General features: G+C 41.3%; 1 protein-coding gene across 11 annotated transcripts in view, besides 2 other annotated features; it reads left to right on the top strand.

Moving 5' to 3' along the window:
• Positions 1-20,764, top strand: part of DET1 (DET1 partner of COP1 E3 ubiquitin ligase) — a 44,785-nt gene extending 24,021 nt beyond the window's left edge. For 9 of the 11 annotated variants that reach the window (NR_135740.1, NR_135741.1, NR_026645.3 and 6 more), the window contains 2 exons: positions 5,710-5,901; positions 9,543-10,203. Coding sequence is in view for 4 of the 11 variants with exons in the window: in NM_001144074.3 (NP_001137546.1) it covers positions 5,710-5,901; positions 9,543-9,732 (382 nt within the window). In the remaining 7 variants the exon portion in view is untranslated. Of the gene's footprint in view, positions 1-5,709; positions 5,902-9,542; positions 10,333-11,096; positions 11,252-19,873 lie in introns of those variants that run through there. The other 2 variants (NR_135742.2, NR_135739.2) reach the window with 2 other exon arrangements.
• Positions 17,789-18,563: an enhancer, noted in NCBI's record as "OCT4-NANOG-H3K27ac hESC enhancer chr15:89047351-89048125 (GRCh37/hg19 assembly coordinates)". NCBI's record gives its function as "activates a minimal SCP1, AML or CMV promoter by ChIP-STARR-seq in primed H9 embryonic stem cells {active_cell/tissue: H9 hESC(primed)}" and the evidence as "EXISTENCE:reporter gene assay evidence [ECO:0000049][PMID:30033119]".
• Positions 19,722-20,252: an enhancer, noted in NCBI's record as "NANOG hESC enhancer chr15:89045662-89046192 (GRCh37/hg19 assembly coordinates)". NCBI's record gives its function as "activates a minimal SCP1, AML or CMV promoter by ChIP-STARR-seq in primed H9 embryonic stem cells {active_cell/tissue: H9 hESC(primed)}" and the evidence as "EXISTENCE:reporter gene assay evidence [ECO:0000049][PMID:30033119]".
• Positions 20,765-22,210: the final 1,446 nt, after the last annotated feature.

Genomic DNA, 22,210 nt, shown 5'->3' with positions numbered 1-22,210 from the left:
AAAAAAATTAGCCGTGTGTGATGGCGGGCGCCTGTAGTCCCAGCTACTCGGGAGGCTGAGACAGGAGAATGGCGTGAACCCAGGAGGCGGAGCTTGCAGTGAGCCGAATTTGCGCCACTGCACTGCAGCCTGGGTACAGAACGAGACTCCAACTCAAAAAAAAAAAAAAACCAGGAACATTCCTAGAACAATGAGAAACTTTTGGAAATTTAAAATGTGTTAGATGTAGTGGAGGAACTCTCCAAAAAAGTAGAGTAAATAGATAAGAGAAGGGACCTAGAAGAGAAACATTTAAAAAAAAAATAGAGTACCTGCCTAGGAGGCCAAATATCTGTCTAATTCCTGAAGAAGCAGTGGAGAACACAAAGTGGAGAAATAATGGGATAGATTCCCAGGACTGAAGAACATGAATTTTTAGATTGGCAGGACCATCCAGTTCTGGAGCTGGCTTGTCCTGGCTCATGAGATCTGACTGTTAAACTTTCAGGAATTTTTGCAAGCTGATTGTTAAACAAAGTCGTTATTAAAACTTATTTCCAAATTATTTCCGATTTTACTGTTACTTAGGCTCTTGTGGTTTTTGCATCTATTTTATCTATATGGTGTAAATACTATATAATAAGGTGCTACAGCTCTTCTCTTGGCAACTGCACATTGAGTAATGTCACATTGGTACCTTGGCAGGAAGATTTACACCACAGAAAGCAGGAAGCACTACAAATCATGGCTTTTTTCCCCCAAGAAAAATTAAACCTTTATCAGCGCACCACTGGATTCATCTAGTATCCAGTACAGTCAATGAAAAAGACCCACACACAGAGGCATATCATCATGAAATTTTGGAACATTGGTGATAAAGAGAACATTGTGAAAACTTTGAGAAAGAACATACATTTCACATGTAAAAACAATAAGTCATCATAATGACATCAGACATCAATAATACTGAAAGCTTGAAGTCATTAAAATCATGCCCTCAGAATTCTATGAAAAGGGTGATTTGCAATTTAGAATTCTATATCCAAATAATAGGGTGGAATGGAGACATTTTCAAACCTGTGAAGTCTGAAAAGATTACCTCTCATGTACCTTTTCTAAGGAAGCCTATGGAGATGTACTTCAATAGACCACAAAAGAATGGTATGTAGGAAATAGTCTGACACTGGAGAGAGGCAAAGAGAGTCTTGAGGATAATGATAAAGGGAATTTGCAGAATGACTGTCCACCTGTCAGACCATTTGGAAGCACGAAAGTGGAGGAGTCCAAGAAAAGTGTGTCCAAGGAAAAAACAAAATTGTTAGAATACTGGTAGGTTTGAGTATATTAAGAAGAGATTGCCAGTTTTCCTAGTAGAGTTGTCAGCATAGGCTTCACTGAGGAGGTGGTGGTTGAGAAAGCTTTTGAAGGAAGTCAGGGAGCAAGCCATGTGGATAGCAGGAAGAAGAATATACCCAGCAAAAGGAATAGCATATCTAAAGGCCCTGAGGTAGATCTGATGCATTTGAGGGACAACAAGAAGGCCAGGGTGGCTGGACTGGAGTGAGCGAGGGGCAGAGTACTTGGAAATAGGGTCAGAGACCTGATTTGGGGTGGGGAGGTAGGCAGATACATAAGGCCATTCTATGGCTTTGGCTTTAACTATAGATGAGGTAGATTGTGTCATGTTTGAGCAGAGGAGTGATGTAGTCTCACTTATGTTTTAACAGAGTCACTCTGGCTGTTCTGTTAAGAGTAGAATGTAGGCAGGTAGGGTGGCAGCAGGGATACCAGTTAAGAGACTATTGCAGTGATCCAGTAAGTAATAGCTATGGCATTCTGTTTCCTGCCACTAGGATTTAAGTTCTTTACTGTCAACTGATGTATCCTAAGCACCTAGAAGAGTGTCTGGCACATACCAAGTCCTCTGTGATTGATTATTTGTTGTTTAACAGTGGTGGCTTGGATCAGAGTGGTAGCATTGGGAATAGTAAGTAATTATATTTTCAATGTATTTTGCAGGTTAGAGCCCAATTGATTAATGGAGGATGGTCTATGGGCCATGAAAGAACAAAGTCAAAGATAATTCTAATGTTTCTGGATTGAACAGCTTGCAAGAGAGAGTTGCCATTAAACTGTAAACCTGTGGGTAGAGCAGGTTTAGGGGAGAAGATCAAAAGTTCTGTAAGTAGAGATATCTCATAGTTTCTCAAAGGAGTGTTAGCTGTGTCACAGCCACCTGACGAGTCAAGTACAATAGGGACTGAAAATTAACTTATTGGAGTTAGCAATGTGCAGGTCATTGGTGACCTTGACAAGAGTAGTTTGAGTGAGATAGTAGGGGTGAAAGCCTCTTTAGGGTGGGTTTAAGAAAGAATGGGAGGAGAAAAGTTGGACAGTATGGAAAAGAGTTTTGAGGAGTTTTATTACAATGGGAGCTGAAAAGTGGTGCATTAGCTGGAGGGGTAGGTAGTGTTAGATTTTGTTTTTGTTATTTTTTAGATGAGAGGGAAAAAATGGCATGTTTGCATACAGATGGGACTGATCCTGTAGAGAAGGGGAAACAGTTTAGGAAAGTGGAAGAACTGCTTAAGTGTATGAGAGGGGTTGGGTGCTAGTGCACTGGCAGAGGGATTTGCCTTGCATGGGAGCGCAGAAAGTTATATATGTACAAATGTTGGGTAGATGTGCTGATGGGGGCTTTAAAAAAGTTATCTTCTGCTAACTTCCATTTGTTAGTAACAAAGTAAGCGATGCCATTGGCTAAGAGTGAGCATGGAGGAGGGGAGATGAAATAGTCATGAAAGAGCATGGGAGTCTGGAAGGACTATGGAAATGCAGCATGAGTGCCCTGCAGCATTAAGGGCCCACATAAAGTTCATGGCCATAAGTTTAAAGTGAGCATTGTATGTTTTTTCTACAGCCATGGAGAAAACCAAGTAGTACAGGCACGGAATAGGAAGAGTTGAGCTTAACTGGAGGCTGTAGTTTTTCTAAGCAAGTACCACAAAGCAAGAGAATTTAAGATTGTTGAGGATGTGTGCAACGGAGTGATTTAGTAATTTCATCTATGTGGAAGGAAGGAAGAGAGGATATGATGAGTGTAGGATGGGAAGAAGTTGGTAGAATCAGTGGATTATAGGTCCTGTGGGGGTTAAAGGATTGCTGAAGTTGGGATGAATAGAGGGAGTGAGCTGGAAAGATGGGAGAGAAGATGGTTGGAGAGCGTGACGGTCTACCCTGTGACTAGAGAGGGTTTGCAGTCGTTGGTAATGGTGAGGTTGAGGGTGTGACTGTGGAATAAGCAGTTGAGGTTGAGAGGAGGTCAAGGAACTAGCAGGAGGCTATGGTGCTGTAAAGAACCTTTCTGAGGATTTTGAAATTACCGAGAACTAAGAGAGGTATAGCTGGACAGAGTGACACTGGGGCAGGAACTAAAGTGTGAAGACATCGAAGAGAGTGACTGCTTTTAATCAGTGGGGAGCATGGAGAGTGGAGGTGGTAGGTGCTGTGGAGGAAGAGGAACTGTTTCAACTTGTAGATTATCACAGATGCTTTGATTTGTGGTCATCACAAAGCTGTGAGCCAGCCCCCATCATTTTACCTTTGAAAGCCAGGGAGTCGGTGAGTCAGGCAGGGCTAAGGTGTAGATGAGATGGTGCCAGGTCTTGCTGAAAACCGAAGTGCCCAGGATCTTTTATTTCAGCTCAAATGAAAGGGAAAAAATAAGCTCTATTTGGCCCAAGATTTATTTTTATGATTTATACTGAGGCTGTGAAAATTACTGTCAGTAGGAGTAATGGAAAAGCAGTGTTGCTTGCTAGGCTTTCTTTAGGGGGAGCAGAAAAGTGTTCATGTCCATCTAATACCATAGGTTAATAGTGAAAATAAAAATTACCCCCAACTAATTAATCTTTGTGGTCTCATGAAAGTTAGGAACACTGAAGTTTTTTATTCCATTTGTTTCAGGGATGAGATATTATACTTTTCTCCCAGACTAAAAAAAATTGATATCCCCTTGATTGTTGAACCATATGATATGCTTGAATATAGAGGTTTAAAAAATATATACTGATAGACAGTTGACATTCTTTCTAAGAAGCTGTAGGATAGTGAAAAATAAGGAAAAAATTCAAAATGTCATTATACAACTATTAACATTTTAATGTGTTTCTGCCAGTCTTTGCTTTAAGTGTGAGTTTTTGTTTTCTTTGTGTTTTTAGCCATATTATATAGACAGTATTGTATCCTACTTCTTTTATTTGTAAATGTGATAAACATTTCCCCTGTTACCATATAATCTTTGAAAATGGTAGTTTTCCATTAGCTTTTTAATTTTTTCTTCCTCTATAAACAATGCTGTATGAATGTACACAGAGATTTTTCTGCATGTAGGAGTGATTCCTTAGGGTAAATTTCCAGAAGAATAGAAGTACTTGTCAAAGAGTATTAAATTTAGTTTTGTGGCCAGGCACTGTGTCTCATGCCTGTAATCCCAGCACTTTGGAAGGCTGAGGTGGGTGGATCGCTTGAGGCCAGGAGTTGAAGACCAGTCTGGGCAACATGGCGAGACCCTGTCTCTACAAAAAAAAAAAAAAAAATTAGCTGGGTGTGGTGGCACGCACCTGTCGTCCTGGCTACTTGGGAAGCTGAGGTAGGAGGATTGCTTGAGCCCAGGAGAGGTGGAGGTTGCAGTAAGCTGGGGTTGTGCCACTGCCCTCCAGCCTGGGCAACACAGTGAGACCCTGTCTCAAAAAATAAAAATAAAATAAAATTTAGCATTTGTGACAGTGATGAGAAATAACTGTTCTGTTATTATTTTCAAAGATAAGTCAGATATATGACTCTATGTATGTTACTATTCTTCTAGATACTGGTGTCTCTGCAGGAATATAGGTAGCTAGTTTCCAAATTTTATTTAAACAAACAAAGAATGCGTAATTTATTTGTGAAAGGCTTGCTAGAAGTTGGTGATCCCAAGAAGAGTCAGAGGCTGCTTCTGTTCAGGGTTCTCTGTAACTCCTTCCTAATTCAGTCTAAGGCAATTATTTGGGGAAAATAAGTTCTTGACCTTTTTCCCCAGTTGAGCTGTTATTAGAAAAGAGTAGAAATAGTTGCCATAAACTAGTTATACTCATTTTAAACTTGTTTGTAGAGTCTTTGTTAACTTTTCTAAAGTAGGGCCGGGTGTGGTGGCTCATATCTGTAATCCTAGCATTTTGGGAGGCCAAGGCGGGCAGATCAGTTGAACCCAGGAGTTCAAGACCAGCCTGAGCAACATGGCAAAATCCCATCTCTATAAAAAATACAAAAATTAGCTGGGTGTGGTGGCACGTGCCTGTAGTCCCACCTACTCTGGGGGCTGAGGTGGGAGGAACACTTGAGCCTGGGAGGTCAAGGCTGCAGTGAGCTGAGATCACACCACTGTACTCCAGCCTGGGCAACAAAGCGAGACCCTGTCTCAAAAAAAAAAAAAAAAAAACCCAAAACCCAAACACATTTCTAAAGTAATTTGTTGTTTTCCATTTTTAGTTATATGTTTTGCTTTTTAAAAGTATTTGTAGCTGGCCAGACTTGTAATGTGTGAGAGACAGTTCTATCTTAATTCATTACCTAGGTTTTAATTTGTATTTAAAGAATGAGTTGTTCTTAGACATATATTTGTCAATTTAAAATTCAAGACAGCTTTGTGTACTCACTAACAAAGCCTTCCTCACCGGTCCTTTCATTTAGGTTCAAAGACACTATTATAAATGCCAAGTATGGAGGGCACACAGAGGCAGTACGCCGGCTGCTGGGTCAGCTCCCCATCAGTGCTCAGTCTTACAGCGGTAGCCCCTATCTGGATTTGTCTCTCTTCAGTTATGATGACAAGTGGGTATCTGTCATGGAGCGGCCCAAGACTTGTGGAGATCACCCAATCAGGTACAGTGTCACTGCTATAGCTACAAACTGCTCAAGGGCTGAAGATGGCCTGCTTTCTTTTTCTCTTTTTCTGGACATCATTTGATTGTGACTGTGACTCGTACTCATGGGTAAGGTTGAAAAGGCAGGCTATTTCTATAATGCAGTGAGAGCTGTGATCATTTAGGTGCTAGTCTCCTAAATTATTCCTACTCTTTGCTTCTCATCAGAACATCTAATTCAGATAAGTGTTGTCCTCTTTTAAAGGTATCCAGGGGAGGAAGCTGTACTTTCCCATTTAATAATCTAATACCATTCCATAATAGTTTTTGACATTGAGACTTTATAATTATGTATCTAACACAAATTATTTTATCCCGCCATGTTACCTCATAGAAAAAATAGCAGAGACAATTTGGGGACCTGCTGACAGATTTAGAAGAAACTCATGCTTCCTCACTTGGAGGAATTTTGGAATGTAGACTACTGTGTTATTGTTAGAAGTTTGAAACTGACGTCTTACAAGAAATTCTTTCCTCACAGAAGTCTAGTTCACAGACCCAACTGTCACTACATATATGGAGCCTGTTCTGTGTGCTGTAATAATATTAGGGGGAGGAGCTGGAATTATTGTCACTAGTGGAGTTATCTCAAGGGGGGTGTGTTCCTGAGGCTATAGGCTGGAGCTTGGAAGGTCTTTTTCACACAGAAACAGTGGTAGTTAGATCTTTATGATAGATATATTTCATCATCCAGTCTCATTGTGTATTAAATGTGCCTGTGTGACATAGTCTGTATAATTAATCACCATTTATAATATTTCCTTTGGGAAATTAGAGTCAAGTTCCAAAAACTAGTTAATATTTTTTTTATTATGGAAAGTTTTAAACGTATACAAAAAGTAGAAGAGCATAATAAACCTTCATGTACCCATCACCCACTTCAACAGTTACCAGCTCGTGGCCACTCCTGTTTCAGCTATTTCCATCACGACCCCTACTCCCTCCCCTTCCCACCACTGTCCTGGGTTATTTTAAAGGAAATCCAAGCTATCCTAGCAAAACAAGTAACACCATTACCCCATCTTTAAAAAATTAACAAAAAATCTTTAATATCTTCAAATATCTAGTCAGTTTTTATGTATCCCTGTTGTCTTATAAATATTCTTTTTATAGTTAATTTGTTTGCATCAGATTCAAACAAGGTTCATGCATTGCATTTGGTCCCTTCGGTCTTTTTTTTTTTTTTTTTTTTTTTTTTTTATAAGACGGAGTCTCTGTCTGTTGCCCAGGCTCGAGTGCAATGGCACGATCTCGACTCACTGCAACCTCTGCCTCCCAGGATCAAGCAATTCTCCTGCCTCAGCTTCCCAAGTAGCTGGGATTACAGGCGCCCACCACCACACCTGGCTAATTTTTGTATTTTTGTAGAGACGGGGTTTCACCATGTTGGCCAGGCTGGCCTCGAAATCTTGACCTCAGGTGATCCACCCACCTCAGCCTCCCAAAGTGCTGGGATTACAGGCTTGAGCCACCGTGCCTGGCCAGTCATTTTTATTCTGTAGGTTCTTCTTTCCCCTTTTATTTTCTTTGCAATGAAATTATTGAGGAAACCAGGTTGTTTTTCCTCTAGCATTCTCCAAATTCTAGACTTTGCTTGTTACATCCCTGGGATAGTATTTACTGTATTTCTTATTTACCCATATGTCCTGTAAAGCGGGAATGAGATTTAGAAGGTCAAACAACCCATTTTAAATTATAATCCCTTTGTGTTTGGGGATTGTGGGAGTAAGGCTATGTGTTTTTTATACATAAAAAAGATGGGCCTTATCTGATATGAGTCAAGTACCATGAGATACATTTCTCTCTCCTTTCTGACTTTCCTACCTTTCTAATTGGAGAAGATGAATCTAAAATTTGGAAATGGTATTGCTCCTGAATAAAGGGGTTTCTCTTATAATTCTTCTTTATATTTTTAATTTAAAATGAGAAATATAAGGATATTAACAGCATTTGAAGAGAGAATGCCATTCCTGCAATATCTGTATTGTATAATCCAGTCTAGTCTTTGTCAATATGCATATTTACATTTACACAGTTGTAATCACGGTTAGCATCATTTTTTGTAGTCTGTTTTTATTTTATAAACGTTATTTCATGTTATTATACATAGTCCTCACAATTACAGTCCTAATGAAGGCGTATTATTCTATCAAATAGATGTACCATGATTTATTTAACTATTCCCCCATCACTGAGCATTTATTCTCTTTCTACATTTTTACATTAAAACAAATGCCATAGTAGTCATCTTTATTCATGTACTAGTTATTTCACTTAAATCAAATTCTGAGGATATAAATTCTTGGATATGAGATTATTGAGTCAAAAGGTATAAATATCTTTAGGTCTGCTTATATATTGAATTTCCAAAAGGAGATTATAGGACTTTTTAATTCAGGGCTTTTTATTTTCTGGAATCCTCCCTGCCACCCCACCCCGACCTGCCTCAGCCATTCAGCCTCCACTCACTAATCATCTGTAGTTCCCCAAACCACAGGACATTTATTTTGCATATGGCAAAGGCATTTAAATACTAGGAGGGATGGAAGCATCTTTAGTCTCACATATTAGAAGAAAAATTAAACACTACTTAGTATTTTGTTTCTGTGCATGAAAAAGAACCTTTTAAAAGAATTTATTCTGGCCGGGCGCGGTGGCTCACGCCTGTAATCCCAGCACTTTGGGAGGCCGAGGCGGGCGGATCACGAGGTCAGGAGATCGAGACCATCCTGGCTAACACGGTGAAACCCCGTCTCTACTAAAAATACAAAAAATTAGCCGGGCGTGGTAGCGGGCGCCTGTAGTCCCAGCTACTCGGGAGGCTGAGGCAGGAGAATGGCGTGAACCCGGGAGGCGGAGCTTGCAGTGAGCCGAGATCGCGCCACTGCACTCCAGCCTGGGCGACAGAGCGAGACTCCGTCTCAAAAAAAAAAAAAAAAAAAAAAAAGAATTTATTCTTAAATATGAAAAACTCAAAGGTGAGCCTAGATCCACACTGTCCAATATGGTAGACACTAGCCACATGTGGCAATTGGGTACTTAAAATGTGGCTAGTTCAAGTTGAGATGTGCTCAAGTGTCAAATACATAACAGATTTCCAAAAAAAAAAAAAAAAAAACTCACTAATAGTTTGATATTGATTATAGGTTGAAATAATATTTTAGATATATTGGAGTAAATGAAATGTATTATTAAAATTTCCCCTTTTTATTTTTATTTTTTTAATATGGCTACCTGAAAATTTAAAATTACACACGTGGCTTGCATTTCATTTTTAGCCCTGGCCTAGACAACCTTGAGGCAGGAACGTCTGGAAGCGGAGAGGCTATAATTAAGGCTGTAAAACTGAGTCATCTCAGGAAAGAGAAATGACCAGTGACTCAGTGCAACATAGTAAAATTTATAATCACTCTTCACTAAATGAGCTGGTCATTCCAGGGTGATTTTATACTTCTGATAACCTGGGGCTGATATAAGAGGCGATTTCATTAATAAGGTAAAATAATGAGTTGCCACATTCCCCTGCTGTCTAGATTTCAGTTCGATGGTGAATATCAATCCTGTCCCCTCTTTCTCTGTCTCTGTCCTTGTTCTTTTTAGGTTCTATGCCCGGGACTCGGGCCTGCTCAAGTTTGAGATCCAGGCGGGGTTATTGGGCCGCCCCATCAACCACACAGTGCGACGCCTTGTTGCCTTCACCTTTCACCCTTTTGAGCCTTTCGCTATTTCTGTGCAGAGGACTAATGCTGAGTATGTTGTCAACTTCCATATGCGACACTGCTGCACGTAGGTGCCTCACCAGAGCCAGATTATCTGGTCTTCCAAGACTTTGCCACTCACTTATCTCAGTGGACTCCAAAGCAAAAGCTCCCGACTACTAGCTCTGTTAGTTCCAGCCTGCTATACCTCAGATGGGAGAGAGCCAGAGAGAGGAGTGAGGGTGGCTCAACCTAATGGAATTTTTAAATTGTATACAATACTGCTACTGATTGTTATAATATCCTCTTGCGTTTTCCCTGTGGGAATGCCCAGCATTAATTAAGTCCATTTCATTTTTGCTTTACTTTGCATTTGATTGCTGTGAAGATGAAAGCATTAGACTTTTATCCCCTTCATGTCACTTCTTCGGCATTATGGTTTGCATCTGAAAGCAGTTAAATCTTGTTTACTGATGAGAATGACATACATCCTTTCCATTTAGCTCATAAGCACGGCTATCTTTTTAAGAGAAAAATAAAGCCATGGTATTTTCATACTTAAATATATGTGGTTGGATGACTGCTTTATGTTCCTATCATACTCAATGCTTTCAAGTACTTGGGTTCCAGGAAGGACTGTGAAAGAGATGAGAGGCCATGGATGCAGCAGCTGTTCCTGGGAGAACTAAGTGGTAAGTGCCAACAGGGAAGACAGTTATCTGCCAGGATTGTTTCCTTCCCTCGGGTTTTTGCTTGGTAATTGTCACAGCTGGAGGAACTGGGTGTAATTGCACATCCTCATGTGGAAGCATGCTCCCATCTGTACCATCTGTGTCATGCAGGTGGAAGAGTGAGCAGCTCTCCTTGGCCACAGCAGAAACAAATACTGTGTAGCACGTACTGTAATTTGGGTAGTGGGAGCTGGCAAGCCGCAGGTGTCCCTACAGAGACCAGACTGGCTGTTCCTGGATGGCTGAGCCATCACAGCCATCCCGCAAATACCTGGTGGCCCCAGCCACATCCTCTGTCACATTCTCAACTCTTGCCAGCCTGTTTATGTTTCATCTGCATAATGTATCCGCCAGTAGTGTAGTAGGCTTGTTTAGTAACATCTGACTTTGAAGGTAGCTTTGAAATGTTGGGTTCCAGAGCAGACTGTGAAAGGGGCCATGGATGCAAACAGCTGGACCCTGTATTTCCTCTGCCATCCAGACTGACTTTCTTTGGGAAAATAAGAAATGTGATATGAAATCCTGAGTCCCACCAAAAACAGTTCATCTAATTTCAGTGTGATCAAAATGGAGTAGCTAAATTCAGTCTCCTTCAGCATTCAGTGCAGGATTTGAGCACCTGCTATGAGTCAAGTGGAAACTATGTCAGGATGCCAAGGATGAGGAGAGAAATAGACAGATTATTATAATACAGTACAATAACAGCTCTCATTGTGTCTCTCTAGGGACAGTGGAGACAGATGAAGGAAGGGCAGAAAAAGAAAAATATACTGTGGAAGAGCACTGGAGTTGGATCAATGGGAATGTGTTGTATGACCAAGAGTTGAAGATGTTTCAAGGAGAGGCCCAGCATATACAAAGGCATGGAAGTATGAAAATGGTAAATAAGCAAATACAGCTGCAGCATACACTGGGGTGAGGGAGATGGGAAATGTGACTGAACAGGTAGACTGAGGGGATATTGGGAAGAGAGGTCTTGTGCAGGTTGCTAGGGTTTTATGTAGTAGAAGACATAATACGAATTTCACAAGGTAACTTTCAGCAGTCTAGAAGATGGCTTGGAGGGAATAGAGAGTAGAGGGAGAGGCCAGGTGAGTCCGTGGTGGTCATCCAAAGGAGAACAGGAGGGTGTGAATGCTGCCACTGGGCCCCTGGATGGATGAAATACTTAGTAGATCATGAAAAATGTAGGGTTGCAAAGCATGATGATTCTAATTATGTATTAACAATACAAATGCTCAGCCAGGCGTGGTGGCTCATGCCTGTAATCCCAGCACTTTGGGAGGCTGAGGCGGGCGGATCACGAGATCAGGAGATCAAGACCTTCCTGGCTAACACGGTGAAACCCTGTCTCTACTATAAATAAAAAAATTAGCGGGACGTGGTGGCGGGCGCCAGTAGTCCCAGCTACTTTGGAGGCTGAGGCAGGAGAATGGCGTGAACCCGGGAGGTGGGGCTTGAGTGAGTGAGCCGAGATTGCGCCACTGCACTCCAGCCAGCCTGGGGGACAGAGCCAGACTCTGTCTCAAAAAAAAAAAAACAAAAAAAAAAACAAAACAACAACAACCAAACAAACAATACAGTTGCTTCTCAACTTACGAGGGAGTTACGGCCAGATAAACCCATTGTAAGTTGAAGATATCTGATGACGGGTTTACCTGGGCATAATCCCATCTTAAGGACTTTACTCAATATGTATTGCTTTTGCAGTCTTGTAAGTCAGTAAATCCTGAGTTGAGCCATTATTAAGTCAGATACTGGGTATAATTGTGTTCTTGTAGTGTACTACCCATTACCCAGGAGAAGTTGTGTTACATGTTCGTGGGGCTGAACTAACCTTTCTTCATAGAAACACTTTATCTGCAGCTTTTTCTTTGAACCAGGTGGTTTGATTGAACCTGAGGACCTGGCAGAGTGGAAAGAGCATGGAGTGTGAAGTCACTCAGGTCCCAATGGGAATCTGGGCCCTTCTGCTCATTCATGTGTGATCCTAGGCCAATCTTCTATCTTTTCTGAAACTTAATTTGCACTTTCCTCCACCTTAGTCATACATTCCATTGATCCTATCTTAGATCTTTTTATCACCTCAAACTGCCCACCTCTGAAGTTTCAATTTCATAATCCATACACCCCACTCTGACCACTACCTTTTAGCCTTTCACCTCACTCTCTTTACTACCTCCACTACAGAGGATCTTAGACCCCACTGAAGCCTCCAATCCCTGACTCAGGTTAGGATAAGGATAAACTGCTATAGCTAAAAGACCCCACATGCAGTGATTAAACAAGAGAGGAGTTTTTTTCTCTCTCAGGTCACAGTGCAAGGCAGATGTTCAGCATCAGTGAGTGGTTCTGCCACACACAGCCTGAAGGACCCAAGTGTCTTCCATCTTGTTTCTTTGCCATTCACTGTGGTATTGTCTTGGATTGAGATAGGGAGAGGATGAGTGTGGAGGAGACTCTCCATTAGGATCACACATCACTCCCCTTCATGTTCCGTTGGAGAGGTCCTCACCATATGGCCACTTAACAAGCAAGGGAGCTTGGGAAATGTAGTGTGCCTGGCCAGCTGTGTCCTGTGTACTCTTGCATTCAGAAGAAAAGAGAATGAGTTTTGGTGGACCACTAGCCTTTGCTGGGATACCAGCATCTTCATAGCTGTCACCTACCCTCAGATCCTCTCGTCTTTCGTTATTCAGCCTAGGTTGCATGATCTAACACGATAATCACTCCCTTAACTTCCTTGCTGTTCTGCCTCCTTCATGCAAATTTGGAAAACTCTCAACTCTGTACATGTCTGTCTCTGAACAGCTGAAAATAGCTGCAGAAAAACCATGTCTATTCTTAAATTCATGACCACAGACTTAAAATGGGCACTCAAGATCGCTGAGCAATCCTTTCAACATTGTAAGACTTTCCTTATTTGTTTACTTTCCAACTCTCTGAAATTGCTGTTTTGCACCTTTGCCTCTCACTTCAAAACCCCTCCTTCAGTAGGCCAGGCTTGGTGGCTCAGACCTATAATCTCAGTGCTTTGGGAGGCCAAGGTGGGAGGATTGCTTGAACCCAGGAATTCAAGGTTCCAGTGAGCCTCACTACTCCAGCCTGGGCAACAGAGCGACACCCTTTTTATTAAAAACACATTAAAAAACTCCTCCAGTATCTCAGCTGGTCATCTTGCCACTTGGCAGAAATAGAATCAGGTGGGAACTCGCCTTTCTTTACCATGTTAGCTATGACTTGCATCTGTACTTGTTCCCTGCCTTACCTCCTATTGCAGCAAATGGAATAATCCCTGCTTCTCTAAAAGGCAAGCCCCTCTACCTGTCCACTGGATCCTGTCTCCTTGTGGCTTTTCAAAAGACCCTGGTCTTTGTTCCTGCAATTATTTTATCTATCTTGCATCATATTTCTCTTGATAAATCATTTTTGTTGCTAGAAGATCTTTGGTCTTTAAAAAGTCCTGCTTTGACCCCTTATTCTCTTTTATTACTGCTCATTTCTCTGCTACCCTTCATAGCAAAACTTCTCAAAAGAGTTGTCTAAATTAAATGATTTCACTTCCCTGTGGCCCATTTCCTCAACCCACTCCAAAGAAGTCTCTGTCTCCACCCCTCCTCTGAAACTGCAGTTGTCCAGGTCACCAGTGATTTCATGTTGCCAATACAGTGGTCACCTCTAGTCCTTCTTTTCCTCAACCTCCCAATATTGGACATAGCTGATTTGTCTCTATACCAAGAAATACTTGGTTCTCTTGTTTCTAGGACAGTATATGTTTTTTTTCCTGCCTTAATGATTGTTGCTTCTTGGTCCTCTTTGTTGGCTTCCCCTTGTTTGCATCTATTAAGTTGCTTTCAGCTGCAAAAACAGAAGACCCAAAATTTCTGGCTTAAACAATAAGGAAATTTATTGTCTCACAGAATTGGAAATCCAGATGTAGAGTGAATTTCAGGGTTATATGCTCTAGGTCAGCAGTCCCCAACATTTTTGGCACAAGGAACTGGTTTTATGGAAGACAATTTTTCCACAGGTTGGGCACAGGGGAATGGCTTGGGCTGATTCAAGTGCATTACATTTATTCTGCACCATATTTCTATTATTATTACACTGTAATATATAATGAAATAATTATACAGCTCACCATAATGTAGAATCAGTGGGAGCCCTGAGCTTGTTTTCCTGCAACTAGACATTCCCATCTGGGGGTGTTGGGAAACAGTGACAGATCATCAGGCATTAGATTCTCATAAGGAGCGCACAACCTAGATCCCTTGCATACACAGTTCACAATACGGTTTGCGCTCTTATGAGAATCTAATGCCGCCGCTAATCTGACGGGAGGTGGAGCTCAGGTAGTAATGCAAGCAGCTGTAAATAGAGATGAAGCTTCGCTCACTTGCCCACCACTCACCTCCTGCTGTGCGGCCTGGTTCCTAACAGTCCGTGGACAGGTATTGGTCCATGGCCCAGGGATCAGGGACCCCTGTTCTAGGTAATCAGCCATGTCATCTATGAGCCAAGTTCTTTCCTCCTCTTCCCTGCATCCAGAAAATCAGCTTCATCCTAAGGTGGATTCTTTTTGAGTACGCTCATAGGGCACTGGATAGTGGAAATGTGGGATACATGTTACTTCACTGACATCCTCAAAAAAGAAATGTTCCCAGAAATCTTTACCTCATTGTACCATTGACCTGAATTAAGACACATGACATTCCATGCAGACTAGTTTTGGCCAAGGATTCTGATCACTAGCAAAGAGTATGGGACTATCGTGATTGGTTTAGACTGCTCAGGGGACATCCCTAGAGTGAAGTCGGATGTGTGGGAGATGGACAGAACAGAGGGGGATGGAAAAAAGAGAAATTGAGAATAATTCCTAAGTTTTGGAGTCAAATAAATGGATAGATATTGAAGCTATATGAGAAGTCTTGGAGGAAAGACCCGTTAGTGGGGTGGGTGGTGGGTGTAAATCAGTGTAGTTTTAGACATGCTAGTTTTGAAATGCCTATTAGATATCCAGATGAGGATGTTTTAAGTCATGGGATGCATGAATTTAGAGCTCAAGAAAGGAGTCAGGTCTGGATTTATAATGTTAAAAGACATTAGCATATAGCTAGAATTTAAAGCCATGGGAATGGACTATATAGAGTAAAAGAGGTGAGGATCCAAGGCACTGGGGCACTCCAACAGCTGAAGGAGAGCAGAGGGGAAGCACTCACTTCATTGAGTACTTTGGCTTATATTAAGTTATCAATGCCTTTGTTTTTTTGTATATTAGTTTTATTCCTAAAGGATTTAAGGCAGTTCTTAGTCAATTCTAGTGTCTTCTCTCCACAAATGTCTGATGGATCTCAAGAATCTGGAGAAACAAGTTCTTTGGAACCAAAATTATAAGAAAAGCAGGGACAGACTTTCAGATCCAGATTCTTCCCTGAACCTCTCTCCTCCCATCCCTGCTTGGCAGGGAGCTGACATGTCAGCTATCAGTGCCAAGCTGCTCTGGACCTTGAGAGAAGGGCTCCATTTAAGGATAGCAAAACCTCTTTCATTTGGAGCCCTTGCAGAGAAGCACAGTATAAATGAGTGAAAAACCTAAATTAGATAATTTTTAAAAGAATGGTAGCTTCATTATTTTCAAGTACACAGAGTAACTTAAACTCAGTCATGAAGTGTTCCTTTGTAGAAGCCCTTAGGGACTTTCCTTAATGAGTAGATTATAATTATTGGTAATCAGCATAAACGGTTCTCTGCAATGCATGCTTTGAAAGCAATTGAGCATATTAAGTGATTTTGATGTTCCACAGGGCAATTTTGTTTACAGCATTTATCTGCTCAGTATATACCCTTTATAGCTATAACCCTCTGCTTGAAAAAAAAAAAATTCTGAAGTCTTTGCCTATCAGGCAATGTTTGATTACTAGTGTAGGAGGCAGGGAGATACTTAGTAGGACTTGGATTCTTTATCCATGGTGCCTGATAGAATTATGGGAATAAGTTTCATGTGAAGCCTGGTGCAAACCCTGGCTGTGTCACCTATGATGTACCCCTGGGCATGATGATAAGAATTTTAGCACGTCTGTTTCTCCTCTGTAAAACGGGGGTAATTTCTACTTTTCAGGGTCGATGTGAGCACTAAGTGAGTACTAATTAAAGCTCTTGATACAATAAGTGCCCAGTAAATGCACCCTGCCTTCTCCCCTCTCTGTAAATCTCTTGGCCTGTGTGGGAGGGTCTCCCGCCTCTTTAGTGTCACAGTCTGCTCCCAGCCCAGGTTGTACCTCTTCATTTCCTAGTGACCACCTGACATAAGCTTGCCGCTTCTCTAGGCCCAACCCCTGCCCACCCATGTCAGTTGAGGTGGTGCCATTCTTTTGCCATGCATCACCTATGCATACCTAAGGCTGAGGAGACCAGAACACCTCTAACCTGCTTTGCCACCAAACACATTGGTTAAAGGGAGCTTTGTTTGCTGAAGGTTTGTTATTGGTGTGTTGTTGATGGCTAACATTTATTAAAAGCTTACTTACTATGGGCCAGATGCTATGCCAAGCACCTTATATAGGAAAGTATTTGCATTTCATGAATTTTGAGATGCAGTTTTTGAAACTGGAGTGTATCTTAAAGTTGGTGTCTTCTCAGTGTCAGCAAGGCAGCAGTTGCAACATTGCTGTTCTCGTCGCCTGTGGATGTGCAAACTGGGTGTGCTCTTCCCATTGTCATCATTTTTGTTGAGTAATGTGCATTGTTGATAACCACATGTGTTCAGTGTAAGCGCTTTTTAAGATGCCTTCAAAAACATTATACTGTGATTTGGTATTATAATAAAAGGTGGTTTTATACTCAGAAAGGCAGAGCAGTGGGGTTAATTTGATATTAGTAAAGCACAGATTTGCCATTGGAGGAATGAACATGATTTTTTACAAAGCAGGAGGTGTTTTTTTGGAACTAAGAAAGAAAGATACCCACTAGTAAATGAAGTTTTACTGACATGCTGAGATTCATGCGAAAGGATTGCCTATCAAACAGCAAACAAGGCGCAACTAAAGGAGAAGTTGACCCATCCTTTGGAATAAATGGAAGAAGTTTTAATGTAGTGAGAGACACCAATTCATGCAGAGCACAGGACTAATCATTGAGATGTGAATCGATTTGTTAGATGCTTCCTGCTGACTTTGAACAGGAGCTGATTAATTTCCAGGGACATGTGATTCAATATAGAAAGAAGTGAAACTAGAGGTTAAGTCGAATAAGAAACAAAATCTGAAAAAGGCCAAAAGCGCTTTTTGAATACGTATATCTTAAAGGTACTGGCATTTGTCTTAATCAACTATGGGAAGGCACACGCGAAATGACTGTCATGAAGAAAGAAATTTGTTATACGCATAGGTCCCTAGAAATTGAAGGCGTGGTATGCATGCAGGGCCATGGGTAAGCACCTGGATTGGTCAGGAGGCAGAGGGAACAGGCGAAAACATGGATAAGAGCCTGTGTTGTGGTTTCTGCAGAAATTAATGTGCCAGACAGCAGGTAAGCAGGTTTGGGATTGACTAATTTGAATTTTGATGGGCCCTGGGGTCTAGGTGCTATCCCTGGTTGTCTGGTACCTGGCCCTGGGGTGATTAGGGCTGAGTGTGAGAGCCCTATAAAAAGGTGCTTGAGGTGTGGGCTCTGGATTGGTTGGTTTGCATATGAAAGACGTGTTCTCAGGCAAGTTGTTTGCTATCTCCAGGAATTAGCAAACTCTGGGAGGGGCAGTCCAGGGTCAGTACAGCCCCAAGATGTCAAGTCATCAGAAAACAAAAGGCATGGTTAATATAATATAAAAATGATTCCAAGCAATAAGCATTGTCATGGTTTAATTTGTTCTTAGAGTGACAGATTGTGGTAGTCAGCCTCTAAGATGGCCTACAGTGACCCTACCTTCTATATTCATGCCCTCCCACATCGTATCATGGTTGATTGGCATGACCAATAAAACACAGTAGAAGTGATGATGTGCCACTTTCAAGGCTTATTTATAAAAGACATTTCAAGGCTAGGCTTTTGCACCCCGCCCGCACCCCTGGAATCATTCAGCCGCCATATCACAAGAACACACAGGCAAGCTCCTGGAGAGATCTCCTTGCTGAGGAACTGAGGCTTCCTGCTGATAGCCATGTGAATGAAATATCCTGGAATCCAGTCCTCCCGCTTCATTCAAGCCTATAGATGACAGCAACCTCATGAGAAACTCTGAGCCAGAACTGCCCAGCTAAGCCACTCCCAGATTATTGATTCTCAGAAATTGTGTAAGATAATAAATGATTTTTTTTTTTTTAAGACAGGGTCTCCTTCTGTTGCCCAGGCTGGAGTGTGGTGGCATGATCATGGCTCACTGTAGACCTCCTGGGCTCAAACGATCCTCCCGTCTCAGCCTCCTGAGTGGTTGGGACCACAGGTACATGTCACCATGCCTGGCTAATTGTTTTTAATTTTTTGTAGAAACAGGGCCTTCCTATGTTGTCCAGGCTGGTCTCAAACTCCTAGGTTCAAGCGATTCTCCTACCTTGGCCTTCCAAAGTGCTGAGATTACAAGCATGAGCCACTGCGCCTGGCCAATAAATGCTTTAAGCTGCTGAATTTTGGAGGTAATTTGTTGTGTAGCAATATATAGCCAACACATACATAAATAAAGGTGTCTTTTTGCAATATGGCATCCTCTGAAAAATGCAGTATTCCTATTTTGTAGATAAGGAAACTGACCTTAGAGAGATCAAGCAATTTGCTAAAAGTAACATTACTGGTTAATGTCAAGTAAACTTTAACCTGGCCTATGTCAGAATTCATTTAAATCTCTGAATTTATTTAGGTCTAAACTGGTTATTTTACTGATTTCTAAAAATATTAATAGGGAAATTTGATATTTTTGTGTCTTTGTATCCATCTTCTTCCTTGTAGGTGGATGGCTTAGCAAAGTATTTTTTATTAAAGGTTGACAATATATCCCACATAATTTCTCTTTCTCCTGTTTTTTTCTTTAAATTTATTTTATTTTATTTTTTATTTTTTTGAGACAGAGTCTCAGTTTGTTGCCCAGGCTGGAGTGTAGTGGTGAGATCTCAGCTCTTGCAACCGCCGCCTCCCAGACTTAAGCGATTCTCATGCCCCAGTCTCCCAAGTAGCTGGGATTACAGGCATGTGCCACCACTCCCAGCTAATTTTTATATTTTTAGTAGATACTGGGTTTTGCCATGCTGGCCAGGCTGGTCTCCAACTCCTAGCCTCAAGTGATCCACCTGCCTTGGCCTCCCAAAGTGCTGGGATTACAGGTGTGACCCTGGCCTCTTTCTCCTTCTTAACACTAGTGTGTTAGTTGACTTGTGTGTTTATTCATATGTTATACATTTATTGAGGACCTGCTAAGGGCCAGGGACTAGGAATAGAAGAATGTGTAAATCACAGCTCTAACCTTTGCCTTTCTAGTCTGGTAATGTCTCTGAATGCCGATCTCTCTCTCTCTTAGAAAGAGGTGCCTTGTCCTCTCTCTCAACTGTCCCACCATCAGTAAGGGAACCAGGAAACCAGTCTTTGAGTATGGAGTTAACAAGAAAGCTGAGTGTTGGGCGGCTTTTTTGTGGAAGCTCACTGCTTATCCATGTAATGTTTCATTAATTCTTTGATGCTGAAGTTTCACCTCCTGCAGGGAGCATTTGCAGCACCCCAGGCGAGTTGTCAGCAGTTGCTGCCTGGCAGTAGCACACATTAACTCTAGTGAGCAGAAGTGGAGCTCGAAGGCTCCCCACACTGCTGCACCTTGAGCTGCTCTTCCTGGCCCAGCCTGTTCTGCTTCCTGGGACCCCAGATCTGGTCTCCAAGTACTGTTTCTCTTCTAAGTGTAGTCATTAACTTCCCAGAGTGAGAAGAAGAGACTAAAAAAAAAGAGAGACAGACTGTCTCTTAGTTTTAATTAATTGTTGAAAGAATAGAGAGGGGCCATATTTCTACTGAAAGAAAGGAGAAGTTGGGGAATGGGAATATTCTGAACCGGAATGAAAAAGTGAATGAAAGGTAATCTTTAGATTCAGTCTCTTTGCCCTAGTCTTTAAAAGTTTCTGTTGGGGGTTATTTGCCCTAGTCTTTAAAAGTTTCTGTTGGGGGTTACAAAGTTTGAAATCTGTCTTAAGGAGGGATGTATTACTCAAAATAAATTGCCTCTATCATTCAGTGTGATATGATGGACTTGGAAGGGGCAGGATTAGAGGAGGTGAGGGATAAAAATCTACATATTGTGTACAGTGTATACTACTCCAGTGATAGATGCACTAAAATCTCAGCCTTCACCACAGTTCATGCATGTAACCAAAACCACTGCTACCCCAAAAGCTGCTGAAATAAAAAGCAACAACAACAAAAACAAATGGACTCTAGCTTGTTTTCCTTTCAGATCTTCTCTTTTAAATGTCATTCTGGCTAAAACAATTTTTTAAAAATGTTTATCTGAAAAGTGATTGTCAACCCTCAGGGTAGGTTCAGCATGAGATTGATATAGTAGCCATGTCAGAATCCTGAAAGGGATATACTTCGGGAAAAAAAAAAAAAAATAGGCCAGGTGTGGTGGCTCATGCCTGTAATCCTAGCACTTTAGGAGGCCATGGTGGGCAGATCACCTGAGGTCAGGAGTTCAAGACCAGTCTGGCTAACATGGTGAAATCCCGTTTGTACTAAAAGTACAAAAAATTAGCTGGGCGTGGTGGCACACGCCTATAATCCCAGCTACTTGGGAGGCTAAGGCAGGAGAATTGCTTGAACCTGGGAGGCAGAGGTTGCAGTGAGCTGAGATCGCGCCATTGCACTCCAGCTTGGGCAACAAAAGTGAAACTCTGTCTCAAAAAAACAAACAAACAAACAAACAAAAAAACCTCAGTACATTTTTTATTGGGAATTTTATTGGGAAAATGCAAAATGCATACATTTTCATATTACAAACCTCAGAGAGTTTGAAAAGCAATCTTGTCTGATGAGGTTATGCAGAAGGCAGTGATTCATAACTGGGGTACATCCCCTCAAAATCTTAGAAGAACATGAGGTTTACCTAGTTATCAAATGAGGGGATACATTTTAGAAGGTTAAGAAACATGTTAGAAAAATATTGAGTTTCCTAAAAAGGCAGAATGGAGAAATCTGGAGCCAGATGCAGGAACATTTCTGTGTCTCTCATGCTGGAAGGACTCAGGGAGAGGCAAGCAACAGGGACCAAGGTCAGAGAAAAACAAGTATGCAAAATGGACTTGTGATAGCCGGGGTGCCATTGTCTTCTGGGTTTCTGTTTATAATTTTGCAGTGAGAAAGCCCCTTCTAGGGGGGAAAAGTCCCATAAAAATCCCACAAATGAAAATTTATGCGTGGCAAAAAAGCAAAAACAAAACAAAGTCAAACGACAACACCTTTAGCAAAGGATTGATTTCCTTACTACAAAACATCCTATAAATATCTAATAAAAATATGAACACTACAAAAGAAAAAATGGACTATGTTATTAGCAGAGTGTTCCCAGAAAAAAATAAATAAACATGGTCAACAACCACATGACAATTGTTTATAATATTTATTTTTCACCCATCAGATTAGCAAGGGTTAAAGATGTTTGATGACCTAGTATTGACAAGGATGTAGGGTGCTCACCCACTGTTGGTGGGAGAGTAAGTTGGTTCAGATTTCTTGAAAGACAAAAAAGCAATATGTTAAAAAATGCATATAACTTTTAACCCAGTTAAATTCTAACTCTATGTGTCAATACCAAAGGTATCAGAAGAAAAAAATGATAAATGTGTCAGGGCAAAACATTTGTGTATGTGAACAA

The sequence above is a fragment of the Homo sapiens genome, chromosome 15, assembly GCF_000001405.40.
Source record: "Homo sapiens chromosome 15, GRCh38.p14 Primary Assembly".
NCBI classification, from domain to species: domain Eukaryota; kingdom Metazoa; phylum Chordata; class Mammalia; order Primates; family Hominidae; genus Homo; species Homo sapiens.
This window is presented reverse-complemented; position numbering and strand designations above follow the sequence as displayed.